A 20686-nucleotide genomic window follows, 5' to 3' on the forward strand; every position below is an offset into this window, starting at 1 on the left:
CATGGTCAGTCCCTTGTACAGAGCTCCACTGATGCCAGAGAAAGCTGAGAGCTAATCCTGAGGAAAAGAATTTGGGGCATTGTGGATTCGTGCCTGGGAGAGATGGGGGAGGTTCATGACCAAGGGTTAAGTTGCTCATTTTGACAAAAGAGGGAAGCCATTGTATGTGTGGCTGGTGGGGTGGGGGCACACACCTGCACCTGCTATCCAGAAACCCCAGACTGATGGATTTTTATTTTGGAAGCATTGCATCAACCAGGAGAGAAGACCACTTGGGGGAGTGGGACCCTGAGCCGAGGTGATCCTTGGCCATGAGAGGTGAGACCCACTTTCTTAAAGAAGAGATGAGCGGGAGGATGTTAGAGAGGAGAGAGAAATGTCCATTATCAATGGAAGAGTAAGGGATGCCTTGCTATTCAGATTTCTAAGAGAAGTTTAGGGAGAACAAAATGGTTATACAAGTGGTAAAAGATCAAGCTCAGAACCTGTGGGTGGTTTACATTTGCCAATTTCTCAGCTTCTTGATTGTGTAAGGACAACTTTACAAAATATTACGTGCAACTCAGAGCTTTCAAGATATCAGTTATATTCTTACTGCCTAAGATACCATCTTTAAAAAGGAACTTCTAACAGCCTGAGAAGGCTGAGCCAGCATGGGGGCATGCAGCGAGTTCCACACACAGACACAGCTTTTGAGGCTGGAACACCTTCTGAGCTGCGCCGTCATTTTAATTTTTTTTTTCGTCGAGCCTAAAATGTGATCATTAGTAAGACACTGATGTATCCCTAAATTTGTTCTACTTCACAAGGCTCCTTCCCAACTAATTTAGAACAAAACTTGTTCGACATTTGCTCTGTACTTGGGTTCACAAATGTCATTTTTGTCCAAAGGAGCCCACAAAACACTGAAACAAACTCTATTTACACAAATATCTTCAGACTTGATAAACAGCTACCGCCCAGAGCAGGGCTGGTGGAGTAGTGGTTGAGTCCAAGACCCTAGAACGGCCAATGGAGCTATGGGAATGGGGCTGTCTTAAGTCAGGAGGAGCTGCCCTGTCCCCCAGTGAGGCTGCTAGGGGCTTCTTCCCGTCCTCATCCTCAGTGTAGACAGACCCTCAGCTGGAGAAAATGGTGACATCCTGGAACCACAAGAAAAGGTATCCAGCCAGAGCGACTGTGGGTGATCAGGTGGGATTGCTCTGAGTCCACTGACTCTGAAGTGGCTGCAGTGGCGACAGGAACAGTCCCATAAGCAAAACAAACATTCTTAAGAATGCTAATATGTTGGTTCTGGCCACGGGAAATGTGACCTTCTGCAGATAGAAAGGGATGTCTGGATGCATTGTGATCTGTACGTCTCAGTAATGGTGGGCAGCAACACCACACCAGAGGTCTCTGAAGCCTGTGGAGTCGAACACGCTCATTCTTCTCAACCCCTGGAGACCGGGAGCCCAGAACTAGAAGACCGCTGTCCTGCAGGAGGAATTAGAGGCAGCATTGGGTTGTCAGAGAGGCTTCTGTCTGGCATTTTGTGCAATTGCATTGTCAGAGCTCAGCACCGGGTGCCTCCCTCTGCTTTATACACACCTGCTTGGCACACACAATTGGATGCTCACAGTGAGGGAAGCGTCCCTGGAGAAGGCAGCCTCCTCAGTCACAGGATGACCTAAGGCAAGGATGGACCTCTTTCAGCCCGACTTCCTTTTGCTTTTGGTTTTGAAGGAAGCATTTTTACTACTTAGTAATGTTTGAGCAAAGTGTTTTGTGAAGGAGACCAAACACAGTCTTTGGTGCAAGGATATGATGAAGGTTCCCAAATAAAAATGCACAGGCCCCTCGTGATGCGGGTCCCTAAGTGCCAGCTGTCATTCTCCACCCACCTGCCGTCTTAAAACTAACCTTTCTGTCACCTCTGCGTGTCTCCTCCCTTGTCCTGTTTTGCAGAACCAAGCTGAGTCAGTGTTTCAAGCAGGGGTGACATGTTAACAGCTTAATAATAGTATAATCTCACCAATAATAATATGCTGTCACCCTGTCTGAAGCACAATGTTTACAGGAGACGTGGTAATGTATGATGACAGTAATTTGAATAAAAATGAATTTACTGCTCTTGTCTCATTTGCAGTAAATTTTCACATCTTTCATGCACAACTGCTGTTCTATGACCTCTCTCATCATTGTGTTTGTGGCGGTGGTGGTGGCTGGCTTTAAAGTGAAAGGCGGGCAAATGAAACAGAAGCCTGCAGCTAATAACCGATCTCCAGAAAGGAGTTCACACTGTAGCTTCTAGAAAAATCTTTCTTCGCTTGTTTACCAAGATGAAGCCGCATGGGCTGGGCTGTTTAATTAATACAAGCTGGAGGTGCCGACTGGGGAGGGGATGTGGACACATAGGATTGTAGATTGACAATTACAGAACAATTGCCATTAAAACACGTTGGGGATGGCAGGTGCTTGAAATACAGGGGGCCCTCGGTAATGCGGTGGACTCAGTCAGTTTCAGGGAGTGGCCTTCTGCCCATCAGATCACTTGGTACCTTCGGGTTTTTGCCCCCTCTAGGGGATCTCTACTTTCCTGCGGCAGCTACGGCTTCAAACATGCACCCCTCAGGATGCTCCTTCCTCCCACCCCACCCCCGCAACACAGGCAATGTCTTCAGAAAGGCAGATCCCAGCCTGTGGTCACCCTGGGTGTGTGCGCCAGGACACCATTTGCAAAGACTCGTCGCAGGAGGCCCCTGGCTGCCTGGTACTGCTGCATTCTTTGTGGCGAAAAATTAATATGTGAATAATTGGTCTCAAATGAAGCTGTGAGTAAATTATGTTAAGTGTGGAGAGGAGAAAGTTATGACATCCTGCTGACACGCTTGTACTGGATATAATTTGATGGAATGAGGACAACAAATTAGAATTTGCTGAAACTTAAACAGGGACAGAGAAGTGGTTCTAAAAACACGCCGAGCTTCAGACATGCACAGTGGACGGGCTGGCAAAGGGGATGAGATGCTGCTGGTCTTGATGGGCCTGGGGATAAACATGGGCTGGGCTGTGGATGCTGAGGGATTGCAGCTGCATTGCTACCTACAATGCAGAACACAAAGGCACCCATGTAAGACGTTCTATGAGCAGAGTAATGAAGGCAAGGACTTACCACATACACACAAAGAGCATCAGAGTTAATGGCACAGGATCTGGAAATGGAACATGAAGTTAATTTGCTAGTTCTAGGATCATGGTTTTTTTTTTTTTAGACGGAGTCTCACACTGTCGCCCAAGCTGAAGTGCAATGGTGCGATCTCTGCTCACTGCAACCTCCACCTCCTGGGTTCAAGCAATTCTCCTGCCTCAGCCTCCCAAGCAGCTGGGATTACAGGTGCCTGCTACCACGCCCAGCTAATTTTTTGTGTTTTTAGTAGAGACAGAGTTTCACTACATTGGCCAGGCTGGTCTTGAACTCCTGACCTCATGATCCGCCCTCCTCTGCCTCCCAAAGTCCTGGGATTACACACATGAGCCACCATGCCCGGCCTGGGATCACATTTTGACATAAGCACCTGTGTCATTTAAGGCTTTAGAATACGCTAGCAGTGAACGCTAAGAATCATTTTGTAAATGTGTGACAAGAAGTAAATTTCTTGCACTTAAAGCTGGAAGAATGGAGAGACAACTTATTTGTAAATTAACCTTAAAGAGCTTGGAAGTTTTTCAAAAGCTGCCTAGACATGAAATAAGACCACATCCTTCCTATCTCTAGAATTACTGAAACACCATGTAGCCCAATCAGCATAGATTTTTCCCAGAAAAATGGCTTCAAAGAGCCTCATTGTCATTTTCCCATCCCTGATTCCCAAATCATTGCACTTTCTTTAAGAACAGAAAATGTAGTTGACAATCAGATATACAGGAAGTAGTTTCTACGATAAACACCACACTTTGTGCTGGCCTTATTTCCTATGTAACAATGGTTGCTATGCTTGATGACAGGAAATATCTGCAAAAAAGTCACTGTAGGTATGCTGAATGCATAACATTAAAATCACATTTCGTATGAATGTCCACTGCTCTGGCATGATTAGTAGTTTCCAGTTCTTTATTTTCAGTTACCTGTTTCTACTAGAACATTTCATAGACATGACTGATGTTTTACCCTATAGTACATCAGATGATTGTCATTTAAGAACCCACTTTTAAGAGTGAGATAAAAGGTACAGTATTTGATTAAGAGCTATGTCTGTTTCCTCATTGCAGTAGGTGAGGCTTACATTCCCATCACATAATTTTGTTAATTTATGCTAAAATAAACCCTGAAATTTGACATCTGAAATAATTCCCTTAAAGAAGACTCAATACCTTAGAAAAATGTCAAATCCATGGGTCCCTTATCCTCTCTCAGGTTTGATGTTGCTCCTAAGTTCTTAGAGTTCAGTTCCTCCTGAATTTTGGGGTGCTGTCCTCAGTTCTCCTGTCCCAGGATCTCTTTCTCTGGCCTGCCTGGCTCCTCCTGTGCCTGAGCGTGCTGGTTCCCCGAGGATCTCTCCCTGGTATCCTCTCCCCCATCCCCTGCTGGTTTCTTCACTTCTGTAGCCTCTGGGCTCCTTCTCCATCGGTGTCCATCAGTGCCCCAGGCCTACATCCCTGTCTCTCCCTACCACCCATTCTCAGAGTGACGGTCAGATTAATCACCCCCAATAATTTCTTTAATTTCATTTCATGTGCCAGGCAAGTGGGAGCTTCTGCAAGCTTTTGCAAAGACTTTTGGGAAGGGCCAGACTGCTGGAGACCTCAAGGCAGGGTAAGGATGTTTCTCTGTCCTCTCCTCAGCCTAACCTGCCTTCTTTGCGGTACTGACAGACCTCCATCCCAATGTCCACCATGGCTCTGTGAAATGCACTATTCTTTCATCCGCGTCACACTTGCTCCCGTCCTCCCCAGTTGTTCTCAGGCTTAACCCAAAAGTTTGAAACTCTCATTTTATGGCAAGTAAGGTGAACTCTACTTTTCAGAGTGAACCTCTTGCTTTACACATTACTAAAGAAATAGATGATTCACAAATATGCATGTTTTAGCCATACAGTCTTGTGATAAGGAACTGTGTTTGCTGTAGAAGCCTCCTGGGGGGCTGTGGACAGAAATCAGTTTAGGGATGTATGGGTTTTTTTGGAGTGGGGCAGAGAGGGCTGCCATCCCTCTCTGAAGCTGCCTCAATTTGACTTTTTGTTTTCTGTGCTTCATAGCATTTAAACAATTTAACAGCTCAATTGCTTTACAAAAATAAAATTTATCTTGTTTTCCCATTATAAAGGTAAAACATGTATGTTATCATTTTTTTAAGTACAAAAAATAGGCAGAAAAGAAAAAAGTCACTAATAGTTTTACTCATAGGTGAGCTCCTCGTTACATTTTTATTAATTTGTAAAGGTTAGAATTTTTAAAAAAGAAGACACGTTTTTATACACAGTATGCATTGAATCATTTAAATAAAAGATTATGTTACTTTTCTTTTTAAACAAATACTAGAATTTTGTCACATCATAAACTCTTTATAAACATTGTTTATAGTGGCCAGGCATCATTCTAGGAAACATCATTGTGTTTGCGGCGGTAGTGCAAAGATAGCCATTGTGTTTGCGGTATATCTACTGGGTAGATATACCAAGTTTATGAGTCTGTTCTCCTAGGTTGAACAGTTGGACTGATTTCAAACTTTTGTTTTTATTAATAACTTTGCAATGAATCTATTTGGACATACACCGTTTTCCAAATTTCAGATTATTTCCATAGGACTGTGTCCCAGAAATGGAACTGTAGGGCCAAAGGGAAAAATAATCCAAGTCTAAAAATACATCCAACCAAAATGCTTTTGAAAAAGGATATATGTATTCCCATTAGCCCTGTAAGAAAGAATATGACTTCACTTCCTTTTGTATCTGAAAAGTTTATTTTCCCTAAGCCCCTGGGTCCTTGTGATTAGACATGTTTCTTTCTCATTTCCACCCCTTCTTGAGAGGTTAGCTAATGCTTTATTTCCATCATCTAGATCAGTGGTCCCCAACCTTTTTGGAACCAGGGACCAGTTTCGTGGAAGACAAATTTTTCCCCAGATGGCGGAGGGAGGGGATGGTTTCAGGAGGATTCCAGCGCATTGCATTTATTGTGCGCTTTCTTTCTATTATTATTACATTGTAATATACAATGAAATAATTATACAACTCACCATCATGTAGAATCAGAGGGAGCCCTGAGCTTGTTTTCCTGCAAATAGACAGTCCCATCTGGGGATGATGGGAGACAGTGGCAGATCATCAGGCATTAGATTCTCATAAGGAGTGGGCAGCCTAGCTCCCTTGCGTGCGCAGTTCACAATAGGGCTCCTGCTCCTATGAGAATTGAACCATGCTGCTGATCTCACAGGAGGTGGGGCTCAGGTGGTAATGTGAGCAATAGGGAGCAGCGGTAAATACAGAGGAAGCTTTGTTGGCTTACCTGCCACTCACCTCCTGTGGTGTGGCCTGGCTCCTAACAGGCCACTGACTGGTACCCAGGGGCTGGGGACCTCTGATCTAGATGCCAGAGAACTACATTTTGGAGGATTTTTTTTTAACTTTTAGTTAAAAATAAATTCAAACACAGTAAGTTTACAAGAATAGCCCAAAGAACTCCCCATATTCACCTTCCAGAGACCCCATTCAGGTTTCTCCTTGAGTGAACTCTTTAGTGCCAAAGGATCAAGGCTCATGCCTGCCTAGGCTCCGTCAATCTTGAACAGTTGCTTGGTCTTTGTCCTCTGTGACCTTGACAGTTCCAGAGATTACAGTCCAGTCATTCTGTCTTCTTCAATGTGTGTTTCATCAGTGTTTTACAGAGCCGCAGTTTATAATTCTGCCAGAATATCACAGGAGTGGTGCTATGTTCTTGTCACTGTAGTGCATGATATTAATTTGTGCTGTTTCCGAAGGTGGCCCCTTGGGTGACTTGATTGAGGTTGTGCCTGCTTGGTTTCTCCTTTCTAAAGTTACGCTCCCTGCCTTTCTCATGGAGGAGCACGGTGAGAGGTGACATTTTGACATTTTGGCACTACGTAAGACAGGATTCCTTAGCCCTCTTACCCACTAGCTTTGGCATCCATTGATGTCCCTTGCCTACATGAATTATTACTATGATGTTTGCCAAATGGTGATTTTCTACTTCCATAATCTCTTCTATATTTATCTGTTGGTATTCAACTGTAAGGAGCAGTTTTTTTCTTCTTAGTTATTTATTTATGTAAGTGAGTCCTTCTTTTATTCCATAAGTTATAATTCTATGTATCTATTCTATACCATAGGTTATAATCCATTACAATTATTTTGCTGCTCAAATTGTCTCAAATTTAGCCCTTAGGAGCACTTAAAGTTACCCCTTTGACCTAACCCTAACCATCTGGTAACCCCCTAACCCTTCTTCATTCTGCAAGTTTTTTATTTTCTGGCATTAATAGATGGTCCAGAATAACCTGTTGTTTTCTCAACACAATCCTCCATTTTCCCAAGAAGGCCAGGTTCCTTTTAGCAGAGGATGGTGTTTAGAAACCAAGATCTGGTTCTAGGTGTGCTCAGTGCTCCTGGAGTGTTGGTGCTCCCAGCCCTCTCAGTGAACAGAACTAGAAAACATGAGTGTGTGCACATGAGCACACACAGGTAATGTATTTATGGCTGTACCTATCTACGAGATCAAATACCTCCAGTTTTAACCAGCTTCAAGGTTTACTCTAACTTCCTCCTTTTTATAATTGTCTCTTTTAAAAAAAAAACCTAGCTCCCATCATTCTTAGTATATTTTCTTATTTGATCCATTCTGGTTTTTTGCAGTTAATTTCGTGACCTTGCAAGACTGCTGCCCCACTTGGACTCCTTCCTAGATTGGTCCCAGCTGGTATTGGCTGCCTTACAACTAGGAGAGAAGGGTGGAAAGAAGAAAGGAAGGAAAGAAGGAAGGAAGGAAGGGAGGGAAGGAGGGAGGGAGGAAAGAGAGAGGAGGAGGAAGAGAGGAAGGAAGGAAAGAGCAAAGGAAAGAAAGAGGGAGGGAAGAGAGGAAGGCAGAATGTAGTGAGTTTTAAATGTGCCAACCAGGTGCCTGCATTGCTGCTCTTGACTCAAATGTTAGGTTGCTTTTTGCTCTGTAAGCTGCTTCAAGGTCTTCACATATGTGCTTTGCAAGCATATCATTAGGAGTGTCAAAGACATTTGATACCAAGATAAATCTATCTTTAAGAGCATGTGGCTGAAAATTTATTCACCTCCTATCTTTACTGCTGCAGAAAAGTGGCAAGCATGGTGGTGGACAGTGTGTGTCTTGAAAGCCAGTCATCTAGTTTCAAACTCCTGAACTGCTGCTTCCAAGCTGCGTGAATCTGGGCAAGTCACTTCATCTCTCTGTGCCACCATTTCTTCATCTGTCAGATGGGAATAATAATCCTACCTATCCCACTAAGTTATTGTGAATATGAAATTAGTTACTACAGATGAAGACTTAGAATAACATCTAGCATGTAGTAAGCACTCAATACATGTTAGCTTTAGGTGATTATTCTTGGTGATATTGAAGATGCATGAATTATCACTCCCAGTCAACAGCAAACCAGGCTTAGTCTAGACAAGGGCTCAAGGGCAGTGTGGTTGCGGGTAGGAAAGGTTGGCTTCCTCTGCATATGATGCCACCTCCTGCCTCGCCAGGGGAGCTGCTCTCCCAACCACCAGCCCTTAACACCTGCTGTTCCAGGACTCAGCAGGCTGCCCTCCAACTGCTCAGACAGTAAGGCTGGTGCCCTCCCCCAGCAGCACTAAACTCCCTCTGGATTACTGCCTCCAAATCCCACCCCATTCACCACAGTGCAGGGAAAGCCTTCATTTAGTCATGAGTGGCTCCTGGGGCTCTGTTCCGAAAGACACGTGTGTTTACAAAGACCTGGCTGCAAGGGAAGAGCAACTAATGTTTGACAGAGATCTTTCGAGGTGGGGGCCTTCTGGATGTCCTTAAATTATAGGATGTAGGAGACAAAGCAAAAGATCAGGTGGCCCCAAAGAGCCTAATATTGTCACCTATTACGGGCCGAACTGTTTCTCCCCCAAAATTTATACATTGAAGCTCAAACCTTCAATACCTCAGAATGTGACTGCGCAGATGCCCCTCAACTTATGATAGGGTCATATCCCAGTAAACACATCATAAATGGAAAATGCATTAATCCACCCAATCTATGGAGCATCACAGCTTGGCCTGGGCCACCTTCAACGTGATAGAACACGTACATCAGCTACAGTTGAGCCAGGTTGTCTGGCAACAGAGTCCACTGTAGAGTTTCAGCTGCATCTGCTCCTGACAGCATGGCTGCCCTGGAGCTGAGACTCACTGGTGCTGCCCAGCATTGAGATAGAGTATCTCACTGCATACCCCTAGCCCAGAAAAGGATCAAAATTCAAAACCGGAGGTATAGTTGCTACTGAACGCATGTCGCTTTTGCACCAGCATAAAGGCAAACCATTGTAAGTTGGGGACTGTCTGTATTTGGAGACATAGGGCCTTTAAAGAGGTAATGGAGGTTGAAGGAGGTCATTAGGGTGGACACTAATCCAATCTGACTGGTGTCCTTATAAGAAGAGGGATTAGGACACCCACACAGGAGACACCAGGTGAAGACACAGGGACAAGATGGCTGTCTACAAGCCAAAGAGAGAGGCCTCAGAAGAAACCAACAACACTGCCAATACCTTGCTCTTGGCTTTCTAGCCTCTAGGACTCTACAGACTTACATTCTGTTGCTTAAGCCTCCCAGATTGTGGTGCTTTGCTGTGACGTTGGAGCGGACTCATACACCACCCAACCCCCGTGTGATCTTGGCTAACTCAACATCTCTGAGCCTTGGAGACATTATCTGTACAATGAGGAGTTTGGATCCTTCTAGCTCCAATATCTTATGCCTCTGAGGATCTACCCCAAAGAGCACATAACCACTTTTATAAGAGTAATCCCTGGAAAATAAGACAGTAACTGTCCTTAGGATGAAGGCACCAAGACTTGACAGAGTGCCTTGACTAGCCACCTGCTCTCTGATTTACTAAGTTGAACTGTCCAGTGACACCATGGTGTAGTCAAAGAATTTAGCAACTACTATAAAAGAATTCATTTTCCTAATGTATTTCCTACATCCTAGCTCTAAAACCCTGGTAGTCTCACAACGGTTCTTGCTCCCCATTTTTATTTTTAACTAGTGGTCACTTAAATTTATATTATACACATGTTTAGCAACCAATTTTTCATGACAGTTATGCTATACACAGAAGCATCATGATCAGGGTGCTGTTTTAAGGGCTTGGGGTGATGAGTATTTTAGGTGCTAGTTAGTGCTCATTCTAATCTCCGTGTTCTCTAAAGGAAATAGCCACTAAACAGGAACCATCTGGTAATGCATTCTGTACCTCTTAATTACAATGTTTTGAGTGGCACCTAAATAAATTTCATTTACAAGCACATGACTGCTTGTCAAAAGTCTGTTGATAATTTTATTATTGTAACATACTTTCTTCCTTAATTATTTAGTTCCAGTAAAGTTAGGAATATTAATTTTTATGGAAATTACTTGTACCAACAAACCTAAGCCACAAACCTGGTTTTATTTATGTAAATGTATTTATAAATGTATGGTAATATATCTACCCACACACCCATCACAATGGGTTCCCATGGGCCGTTCAAAACTTCTGCCCATTTTTACCCTTCAAGTGTAAAATAGAGTGGAGTCCAACACATCTTAAAATTTGGGAGTTTCTATGAGAGTCTTGCGAGGTAGAATCTTGCTCCTGTGTTCTGTCTTTGCAAACAATCCCCAGAGCCAGCTCACCCACTCTGTCCGGGCTCCGCAGACAGGTGCCTTGGTGAGCGGGAGGTTTCCACATGAACCTCTCTGAGGGATGGACAACTGCTGCGGAGACTCATGTCCACCATGAGTGTTTGGCTCATCTTATTAAGGGACACAGTGCTGGATATGGGCTTGTCGATGGGAGCTACATTTTCAGTCAAAGGCTTTGGTGGTACAGACCCTTGAATCAGCACTTCACCTCCTGTTCATTCACCCTGTTTGATCCTAAACAAATGTGAGCGCTGTGGTTGGAGCCTGGCCTGGCGGGAATATTTATCTACACCATAAAATGCCACAAAAGTAATACTGCTGCCTCCCCAGTGAGCCATCTGGCCCAAGATGCTCTGGGCGGCCTGAAATAGCTCCTGCCTCTCCCACACCTGTGGCATCCGAGTCCAGGAAACCGCAAAGTGAATCCTGGCTCCGTCACTCACAGGAGAGGTTTCTCATCCTCTCTGTAGCTTTCTGCCACGGAAGCCCAGTGGAGTGGGGTTTAAATGTATGCCAAGTAGCATGTGTCTTTAGGAGCCCACCAGAAACCAGAGCTGGACATGCCTGTGTGTGCACTCACACACAGGTGGACACACACACACTCCACAGTTCCCTCCAGGAGCACACCCTAGGAAAAGTCTCCAAGCCTGAAGAGCCTCTGCCTTCCCTTCCCTCACTCTGCGTGGTTCTGGGTTCCTCCTGCATGTTGGGGCTAGCAGAGGAAGAAGAGGAAGATGAGCGGCAGGCACCGAGCACTGAGCCTGCAGTGATGGTAACGGCAGAGGGAAGAAAAGCTGCCTTGGATGCTGGCCCTGTGGGTGGGACCTTGCCTATTGCCTGGTGACCTGTGAATCACATGTGTCATCTTCCCCAGACCCCTGGGGTGAAACAGCCTGTCACCCGCTTGGCCCTCACCTGCTGTCCATTACAAGACAGGCAGCTTCAAGGGATGCTATTCAGAGCAGTAGGAGGAATGCAGAGTGAGCTCCTGGGAGGTTGGGCCCAGTGGGAGCTTGTCTGAGATTGTGCTGGGGTGCCTTGTGGCTTCCGGAAGAGGTGGGATCCCGGGTCCATCCCAGTAGCTCCTCGGGACCCACTGTGCCCGGCAGGTGTGGTGCCCGGGGACCGCTGGCCAGAGCGGTCACTGCCTCCTCCGCAGGCGAGACTCACCCAGGGCAGGGCTTTCCTTCAAGATTAAAGACAAATTCCTACTTTAAAAATAAAGACAAGCTGTGTTTTGCACCTTTTGACACTTATTAACTTAGGTCATTAAAAAGGAGGCTAATTAAAAATGAGTGAAACAAAAGAGTCATTTGTCTGGTGGGAAGCTGGCTCTTCCTGCGCTCCTCAGCCCTGGGGATGGAGCACCCCTGCTCTCTGCCTCCCTCCCTGCCCCTGCCTGCTCAGAGCCTGCTCTGCTGAAGCTATGGGCTACCTCATTATGCACCTCATAAAGGAGAGAAATCATTGTCCTCAAAATTAGCCGAAGCTGGAATTTACATTCCCTGGAAATTTTGGTTTCCTCATTGTCCTTGGAGACTTTTACTGGCTGCAGTTAAAGTAAGCGAAGTTCGATAAATGCTTAGTACTTCATTAAGACATTTGTGAGCAAACTCATTCCCATTAAGTGATATTTTACAGCCACTGGTGAAGGTTGCATGGTACTGCTTTGAAAGCACAGCCCTGTCCCTCAAAATGGCCAAAGGGGCAGCCCTGCCTTTTGGGATAAGAAAAACAAAGCTGAAAACTTTAAAAGGTTGTGTCCTGATGAAGCATTCATTTCTTCTCTTCCAGGGAAAGAGTGATTTTGCCAAGGGACTATGAGCACAGTCTTGTCTGATTGGCCTTGGCCGTTTGGTTGTTTTCTGGAGACAGGGAGAGATGGCATTGCAAGGGACTCTTGGCAATTGAGATTCTTCTGGTTTGATGTCCGTGGGTATCACGTAGCCTTTAACACCTGCCTTGCTGGTGGTCAGCCTTGCCCCCACCATGCTGCCTCCAGGCCCTGAGCAGACAGGGCCTTCGATCTGGCCTTTCTCTAGCATTCCTGGCACCTTTTAAGCAAGCATCGCCTGGATTTGGGAGGGTTCCAGGGCCTGGCTGGTCTCTCTCTTCTCCTCAGTTTGGAAGTGTGTCTGACAGCAATTCCGAGGCTCTGGGACAGCCACCTACTGGCCCGGCAGAAGAGCCACACTTAGCCCTTGTCTAATTGTACCCGGATCTAGCAGGAGAGGAAGGGCGATGGGTGATCACTGATAGAAACTCCCTGGGAAATACACTATTCAGATGCCATTACAAAACCCATTCGAAGCGTGTGCCGTTACATTAAAAATAAACCAGTGGCAACCTAGCAGTGCCAGGGAGCCACAGGGCGGCCGTGGTAGGGGCCAGGGAGGACCCAGACCCAGCCAGAGAAGGAGGAGTGGCCCTTGGCCAGGGGCTAGGAGACCTGCACACTGGTGTCTGTAGCTCTGGGCTCCTGGACAGCTCGGGAGAGGTGGGACAGAGCGGGCAGGTCTGCCCGGAGCTTCCTGCCTCTACCCTGAGAGCACCGTGTGCTTTGGATGAAAGAGTTAATGTTGGCTACAAACAAAGCAACTGTTGCTGGTGACTTTCATTTTGTGCTGGAATCTGGCTGCCACCGCAATATCCTGCAGGAAGCAACCAGGTCCAACAAATCATTTTTGGGTTCGGGAATATAATTAACACATCAGGTCAGGCTCCGTCCTGCCAGGGGCGTGTTTATGACATTATCGCTTCCCAGACAGCTTAGGCCCATCCAGGAGACCGGCGACAGTGACTTCCTTGCCAAGGTAGCCCTTTGAGCAGCGCACTTGATACCTGTTCGTGAATATTCATGTCAATGGCAAATCATAACAGTGTGATTGTGGTTGAACTGTTCGGGGACAGGAGCTGCCGGGGAGCCACGATTGAAAGAAGACTCGCCCGCTGCCCTTCCTCCATGACAATGCGCTGGAAAATCTCCGCGGATGTGGAGGCCGTGTTTGGTTTTCTCTGTGTGTGTGTTTTCTCTAAAGCCATAAGTGCGCAACAATGAAATCTTACTTGCAGAGATCCCCATTATGCATCGGTCCCCTGAAGCTGCTGAGATGACACCACCTCTTACAGGTGGCAGAGAGAATGCGGCAAACCCCTGAAGTCTCAAGTCACAGCAATCATCTTCAACTCCCAAATTGTCCTGGAAGGAGAGTGGCATCGGATTTGTCTTAGGCTGTTTGGCCAAACTGGGGCACAGATGGGATAATGACTTTTACAAACAGCATTTTGATGAGAGGAGGGGAGAAGGAATCATATGTAAAATGCACAAAGGCTGCATAAACACACTGATGCCTGCAGCTGGAACAAACTAAAAAGATGTTTAATAATTTAGAACCAAGCAGGCAGGGCCTGTGCAGCTGTTGTGTGCAGGGGACCATGAAAGTCTTCCATTTGACAGCTGGCCCCATCTTTCCCCAGTTGCTACGTGAAGAAGAGAATGCAGATCTGGGATTAGCCAATCCCTGTTACCCTTGCCCATCTGCCACCAAGACCCCCAGCTCTGCCTCCCTCGCAGAAAGGCGCACACATAAAGAAGGCTGGCCTTCCCAAGCATATGCATGCGTCGCTATTAGCCGTCAGGGCCGCCCGCTCCCAGGATCTGTTGACACGCCGCCAGTACATGGCTGCTGTCGTTTTTGCTGGAGGGCACATTTTGCATTTCACACATTTGCAGAAATACAAAATGCTGTTGGATGCAAACAATTCAGGGCCTAATTGGCTGAATTACTTCAATGTTACCTTGTGTCCCCCACCTGATTAACATAGCTCAGCTGGGAGGGCTGGGGAAGGAGGAGGAGAGAGGGATTTGGAGGGCAGGTGAAGCTGTGTTTGCCCAGGAAAGCGAGATCCTTAGCGAAGTCCCAGCTGAGTGTGGCCTGTGCCAAGCAGATAGCTGAGTGCGGGAGGGGCCGTGCAGGCTGCATTCTTCCACAGGACGCCCGGAGGAGGGGGCTCTGTGGAGGAACAATAAAATTTCAGGGCACAGAGGAGGCAGGCTGTCGGGGAGGAGCGGGGGGCAGTGCCCCTTTTGTGAGATGTCCACGGTTGTGCCATCTCGCTGTCCCTCAGGTAGGCATGGCACAAGGCAGTCAGCCGGGCCTGCTGGAGCCGGTGCCAGGAGCATGTTGCAGGCACAAAGACAAGCCTGACAAAGACGCCTGCCTGACCTGACTGCCACCTCCCCTCCTGCCCATCCCCTCTGCCCCTGCAATGTTGAATATGCTTGCTTAGATTTAAAAAAATTTCCCCAAATTTGTTTGGCTTATTTAAAAATTGAAAACCCTGCTAATTCCAATGTCACATTAATATCAGAGTGATAAAAACCACAGAGGAGTTAATGATCATTATTAGAGAATATTCTGCAGTTGTATCCTGTTATTATTAATGAGGAAGATGAGCATTTTTTCATATGTAAAAGAATTTGGGGAGCTTGGGAAGGATCTAAAAATGATAAAGCTTAAATAGATTTTCTCCAAAAGATAAACATTCTACAGTGAATGATAGTGTTTGCATTCTTTTCAATAAATTATCTTATATCTTGGAATTTTCCCATCCAAACAACGGCAGAGAAACACTGTTGTTGACCAAATTGCCCATGAATTGTGTTCATTTTGGGGGAGGGAAGCTTTTGTAAAATGGAATGATACCATTTTTAATTTTTTTTTTAAGTTCTGTTTTCATTTAATGTGAACATCCCAGACCAATTTTATCTACATTCTAACCTGATGCTGCCTTGGGAGCCCGCTGAGTTTTTCCTGGAAATAATCCTGTGGCTTTGGCTGCCACGGGCCATTTTCCCTGGACTTTTGGGGGGCTGGGCCAGAGCTGCACATGCCCATGCCAGCACCCGCCAGAAATGTCTTCAGGCAGCTGACAGTTTCCCTACTGCCAGTTTGGGTGCTGTTAGCCAGGAGTCTAGATAAACCCCATGAATGTGTCACTTGCAAAAGACCCAGAACTGGCCCATGCTCTCAATGTGTTTTCGGTCCTGATGGAGGAATTTCTTCTTCATAGCTTACAGCTTCAGACCTACTGGAGGCGAAGGGCCCAAAGCCGAACAGAGCTGCAATCTCGAAGCCGGTGCCATTGGGAGGACACACGAGAGCCCCAGGGAGAAAAGCCAGCTTCCTCAGAGCAGTCCTGCTCAGGGGAACACCTATTGCCAAATGCGGGAGCATGGGAGGGGCCCAGCCAGGTTTCTCTCCGAGCCTCCACTGAACAAAGAGCTTGCTATGTCATGCTTCGTGAAGATGGCATGGGGGGTTGGGAGATGGGGCACATTTCAGGGATGCTGGAAAGACAAGTCCTCCTGCCATATCTGGCACCTGCCATTCCTGGAACGAGGCACAGCATGCACTGACATGATCCATGAAGAAGAATTGCAGCTAGAAACTGTAGAGGTAGCATGTGCTTACAGACACAGGCCTTGGAGCTAGGATGTTGTGCCTGCTAGAATGAGCCACATGGAATGGTCCTGAAGGTTGGCACTCGGCTCGGGTCTTTCACGGGCACTCAGCAACACATGCTGCATTTCCTCTAGATGGTTCTGATTCTGAGTTTCCACTTATTCTGATCTCTGTCTCCACCTCACCTGCTGGCCATGTCCACACAGGACTAAGGTAGTTTTACGGGTTTGTGTAAAATTTGTGCCCTTCACATAATGAGAGACTAACATGACAGTCTGGGCACTACCAGGAAAAGACTCAGAGGCCTCAGGAAGCTCCTCTTCTCTGGGGAGAATGCTGTGGGGTTCAGTTTAGTGGAGTCAGTGTTGCTGCGGGTGATTCTTTCTCCTGATCTTGGGAAGTATTCACTTTTAATAACACTCAGGGATGTTTTCACCATTTGGGGGAAATTCTGCTGTAAGGATAGAAATATTCTACTCCAGCTATGAAGATCCTCTGCGTTGACGCTAAATTTGTATGGCAATGGCCCTTAGGGGCTGGACAGTTAATGACAGGGGTGTGGTTCTCTGAGATCAGAAGCCTCTTTCCTAAAAGGATGCCCACACCCCTCCCTGCCTCCTGACTGCTGATTGGGCTGTAATTCTCATCCTGCCTTCTCAGCTGCCCTTTTCTGGATTTACAATTAAGTTCCAGAAGCAGCATTAGTTTAGGTCATGGTACAGAAAAAAGCAAGGGGATCTGAAGTTGGGGCAAGGCTCATTCCTGGCCAGCTTGCCCTGGGCTGCAGCTCTCTCTTCCCAAGATAAACACTTAGAGGGGAATTTCACACTCAAGCAAGGAGGCCGCTGATAAAGTGCAGGCTGCCACTGGCCACCAAGCGGAGCACTTCCTCACTTCCAGACTCCTCCATACCCCCAAACCAACGGAGCATCACTCTGGGATAAACCTGGCCTGGCCCCACTTTCATCTCATGAAAATGTCATGAGCTTATAATAAAGCATCTAAGCAAGTTTCAAAGAGAAGTTCAAGAAAACAGAAGAAGAAAAAGGAGCAAATGACTCTTTGCCTTTGTCATGCAAAGAAGAAAAGTAACATATAGCAGTGAAACCATCTCATGAAATCCAGCCTGGCAGTGCCACAGGTACGGATTCATCCGTCCTTTTATTCATTCATTCAAGAAATAGCTATTTAGGGTCCAGCACGTGCCAAATATATGTATCGATATATACAAATATATGTAATTGCAATTGCTGCCTATCCAGGAGTTGGTTGAATTAGCATAGGTCATGTTACTTTGCAGACGTGGCTCATTTCCTTAAATCTATCATTATTGTGTGCGAACAGCATGTTGAAAGTATTGAGTGCTTGAGGGTTTGGGTTCATTGCCATACTTTTAGATTCATTTTAAGAAGTCCCAAATATCTCAACCCTGATAATGACTCACTTCTAGATGTTGCAAAGCTCGTTGCAGTTTGAGTACAGTGCTGGTCTGTCCCGTGCAGAACCCTAGTGAATATCCCAGGCCCCACAGCATCTTTCCAGTTCAGCGTCTGTGCTGCTTCCCTCTGGGAGGGGTATGAAATGGGCATCCACAGAGGTGGCCCACTGGCCAGGGGAGGACAAGGCAAGGACCCTGCCAGTGGGCTGAGTTCCTGGAGTTTCCCCGGCCCTCCATGACTGCACCTGCCCCCAGCACCCCATCCTTCCTGGCCCCCCAGGTCCTTCTGACGGTTGTCAGGGCATCTAGACAAAGAGCTGGGCTGGCACTGGAGTGGCCTCAGCCCTCGGGGAGCTTTCCCTGCAATGTCACTGGGATTGCCATCTGTCTCTCACCAGGGCATGGAGTCAGGGGCTCCGAGGGGCTGCCCCAGTGCTGAGCCCATGCCCCAGGGCTGCTTACCTCCCCGTACAGTCCCTGGTCTGAGCTGCAGCCCCTGCCCATACTGTGCTGGGGCCCGCACTTCCTACTACCTGCCCTTCTCGGCACGAATAAGCCCAGGGGAGCAGGGGACAGGCAGGGCAGCAGCACCGGGGGTGCCCAGGCTCTCCCCTCCTAGGAAGCCAGCTCCTAGGCTCTGGCCTCCCATGTATCTGGGGCCTTGGATCCCCTGGGGCCTCCCAGGATGGTGGTCTTGCTAAGGGAAGCAGATACTTCAGGCCAGGGTGCACGAGAGACTGAGGAGAAAAGAGACATTTTCCGAGGAAGTATGAAATGAGATGGGGAATTAATGAGGTGGAGACATAGGGAGGCGGTTCCAGATGGCTGGAGAGGCGTCTGCGCCTTGGAGGTGAGCAGCGGTGGAGCCTGGCAGCGGTGCGGACAGTGGCCAGGCAGGGCTCTGCTATGGCCAGAGAAGAGCTTCCGACTCCCTCAGGAGAAGAGGCTGGAGCTTAGGACGCCCAGAACGTCCCTGGCTTGCTGCATGGGGCCGTGTTTACTGTGTTTCCACCTGGAGGGAAAAAACCCTGCAGCCAGGCGGTGCGAACACACTGCAGACTTCAGCCCGGTGTGGTGCCTGCATTGTTGGAGCCTGTGCACTTGAAGTTTCAGGGAATGGCTGCAAGTCTAATAAAAATCTGACATTGACCCTGGCTTCCTGTAGCACAGTATTTACAGCTGGGCATAGAGGACCCAGCCGTATTGAGTGTAGCAGCATTTAGAGAAGCCTCCAGACCCTGTGACAAGGGGGACAATGTCCCTGTCTGGCTGGGTCATTTTCTTCCAGTCTGGGTTCATGTGAGAAATATTAAAATGCAAACTGGAGCCTGGTCTGGGTCCCTCTGAGTCTACCGCAGTAGCTGGTGGTGCTGGGGACCTCTGGAGGCCCCTCTGTCACCTCCAGGAGGCCACACAGCCTTCCCTTGCTCCTGCGGCTCGGTTGCCGGAACTGGAACTCAGCGGGCCTCCTTTCTGGAGGAGTGTTTTCTAAAATGTTGGGAAGTGGGCGTTTAAGAAAGACTGCGGGGCTGATCTTCTGTGCGGAATGCTCATTTCACCATCTTCCCATCTGAAGATCACAAGAGTGTGGAAAGAGCCCGGGAGCAGGACCGCTTCTGTCAGACTTACATCATCACTACTATTTTGTTTATTGATGCTAATCATTTTCCCAACAATAGGAATGCCCCTGGTCTTCATGAATCTACATAAAACGCAGAAAGGGAAGTCAGTGAACGAGAAGCAGTTCATGTTTTAGTTATCCAAGTGAGCTGAATGATAATTTTTTTTCTTATGCTATAGAAGATTTAAAAAAAAGAAGAAAAAAAGAAGCAACAGTCCTCTAAATTTTCGAAATGAGTTTCTTCCCCCTGTGCAATTATGTTTACTTATAAACGAAATAACATGATTGTGGGTATGTGTGTATTTATATATGAAATGTAAATATATTTTACATGCATGTGTGTAAATATACATGAAAAGCATGCCAATGAGCAAGTGCTAGGGTGTATTAAAAAAATTCCCAAATGCTTCCTGCATGTCATATATAACAGTTACATTTTTTTCCCAGGGTTTGGAGGAGGAAAAAAAAAAAGCAAGAAAGAAAATGAAATCCAGATTTGTAATTCCTAACAGGAGAAATATGATCCTTTTCAATGTTTAAGTAATATTTCCTGTAAAACATACGAGGCCATCTGCAAAGCCGTTTCCAGACACATTTTGAAGTGGCAAGGGCAACTGTAAGAGACAGAGGCGGCTGGCAGCCCACCTCGGGGAGGCGGGACGGCACAGGCTCCGAACGCTGGCACAGCAATTTGGCAAAGCGTTTCAGTTCCTGGGTAGTTCATAATTTATTTAATTTACCTCCATTTTACAGACCGGGAGGGGGCCTGAGGGAGCCAGGAGAAAACCAAGAAAGTCGTGAAAAGATACACATGTTATCTCCTCCATCAAGAATGTAATTCTAGATGAGGAGACTCAGACCCGCTTGGTCTTTAAGGAGGTTTTGGGCTGAGATGCTGCAGGGCAAGTTCCCTGAAACGATGACATAGCAACAAAAAGCAATCTATTTGGCCAGGCAACGTGGATGCCAAACCTTTCTGGCTATTTAAGCCCATTATAAAATTTTGTTTTATTGTCGATCTCCAGGGTCACCTTGTGGATTCGTGTTAGTAAAATGTTATGGCCCTGGCCTAATAATTGCTTTGTGAAAGGTTCTATTTTTCCAAAATCTCTTTGTGTCAAGAATAGTCAGGAAATATGCATCTCTCTTCTAGGAGTTTCTGTTTAGTTTTGATTATATTTTTAGAGGATTAATCTATACATCCTACATCCAATTCGAATGTTCATGCCAGCATTCATTAACTCCTTTCCTAGAGAGTGAAATTTTCAGGTTGG

At 46.6% G+C, this 20686-nt stretch overlaps 3 annotated features.

Annotated features, from left to right (window-relative positions):
* Nucleotides 12821-13321: an enhancer, noted in NCBI's record as "H3K4me1 hESC enhancer chr10:130365840-130366340 (GRCh37/hg19 assembly coordinates)". NCBI's record gives its function as "activates a minimal SCP1, AML or CMV promoter by ChIP-STARR-seq in primed H9 embryonic stem cells {active_cell/tissue: H9 hESC(primed)}" and the evidence as "EXISTENCE:reporter gene assay evidence [ECO:0000049][PMID:30033119]".
* Nucleotides 13322-13822: an enhancer, noted in NCBI's record as "H3K4me1 hESC enhancer chr10:130366341-130366841 (GRCh37/hg19 assembly coordinates)". NCBI's record gives its function as "activates a minimal SCP1, AML or CMV promoter by ChIP-STARR-seq in naive H9 embryonic stem cells {active_cell/tissue: H9 hESC(naive)}" and the evidence as "EXISTENCE:reporter gene assay evidence [ECO:0000049][PMID:30033119]".
* Nucleotides 13849-14986: an enhancer, noted in NCBI's record as "VISTA enhancer hs737". NCBI's record gives its function as "enhancer in: hindbrain (rhombencephalon)[9/11] | midbrain (mesencephalon)[11/11]" and the evidence as "EXISTENCE:transgenic organism evidence [ECO:0001131][PMID:17130149]".

Source organism: Homo sapiens, chromosome 10, assembly GCF_000001405.40.
Source record: "Homo sapiens chromosome 10, GRCh38.p14 Primary Assembly".
NCBI lineage: Eukaryota > Metazoa > Chordata > Mammalia > Primates > Hominidae > Homo > Homo sapiens.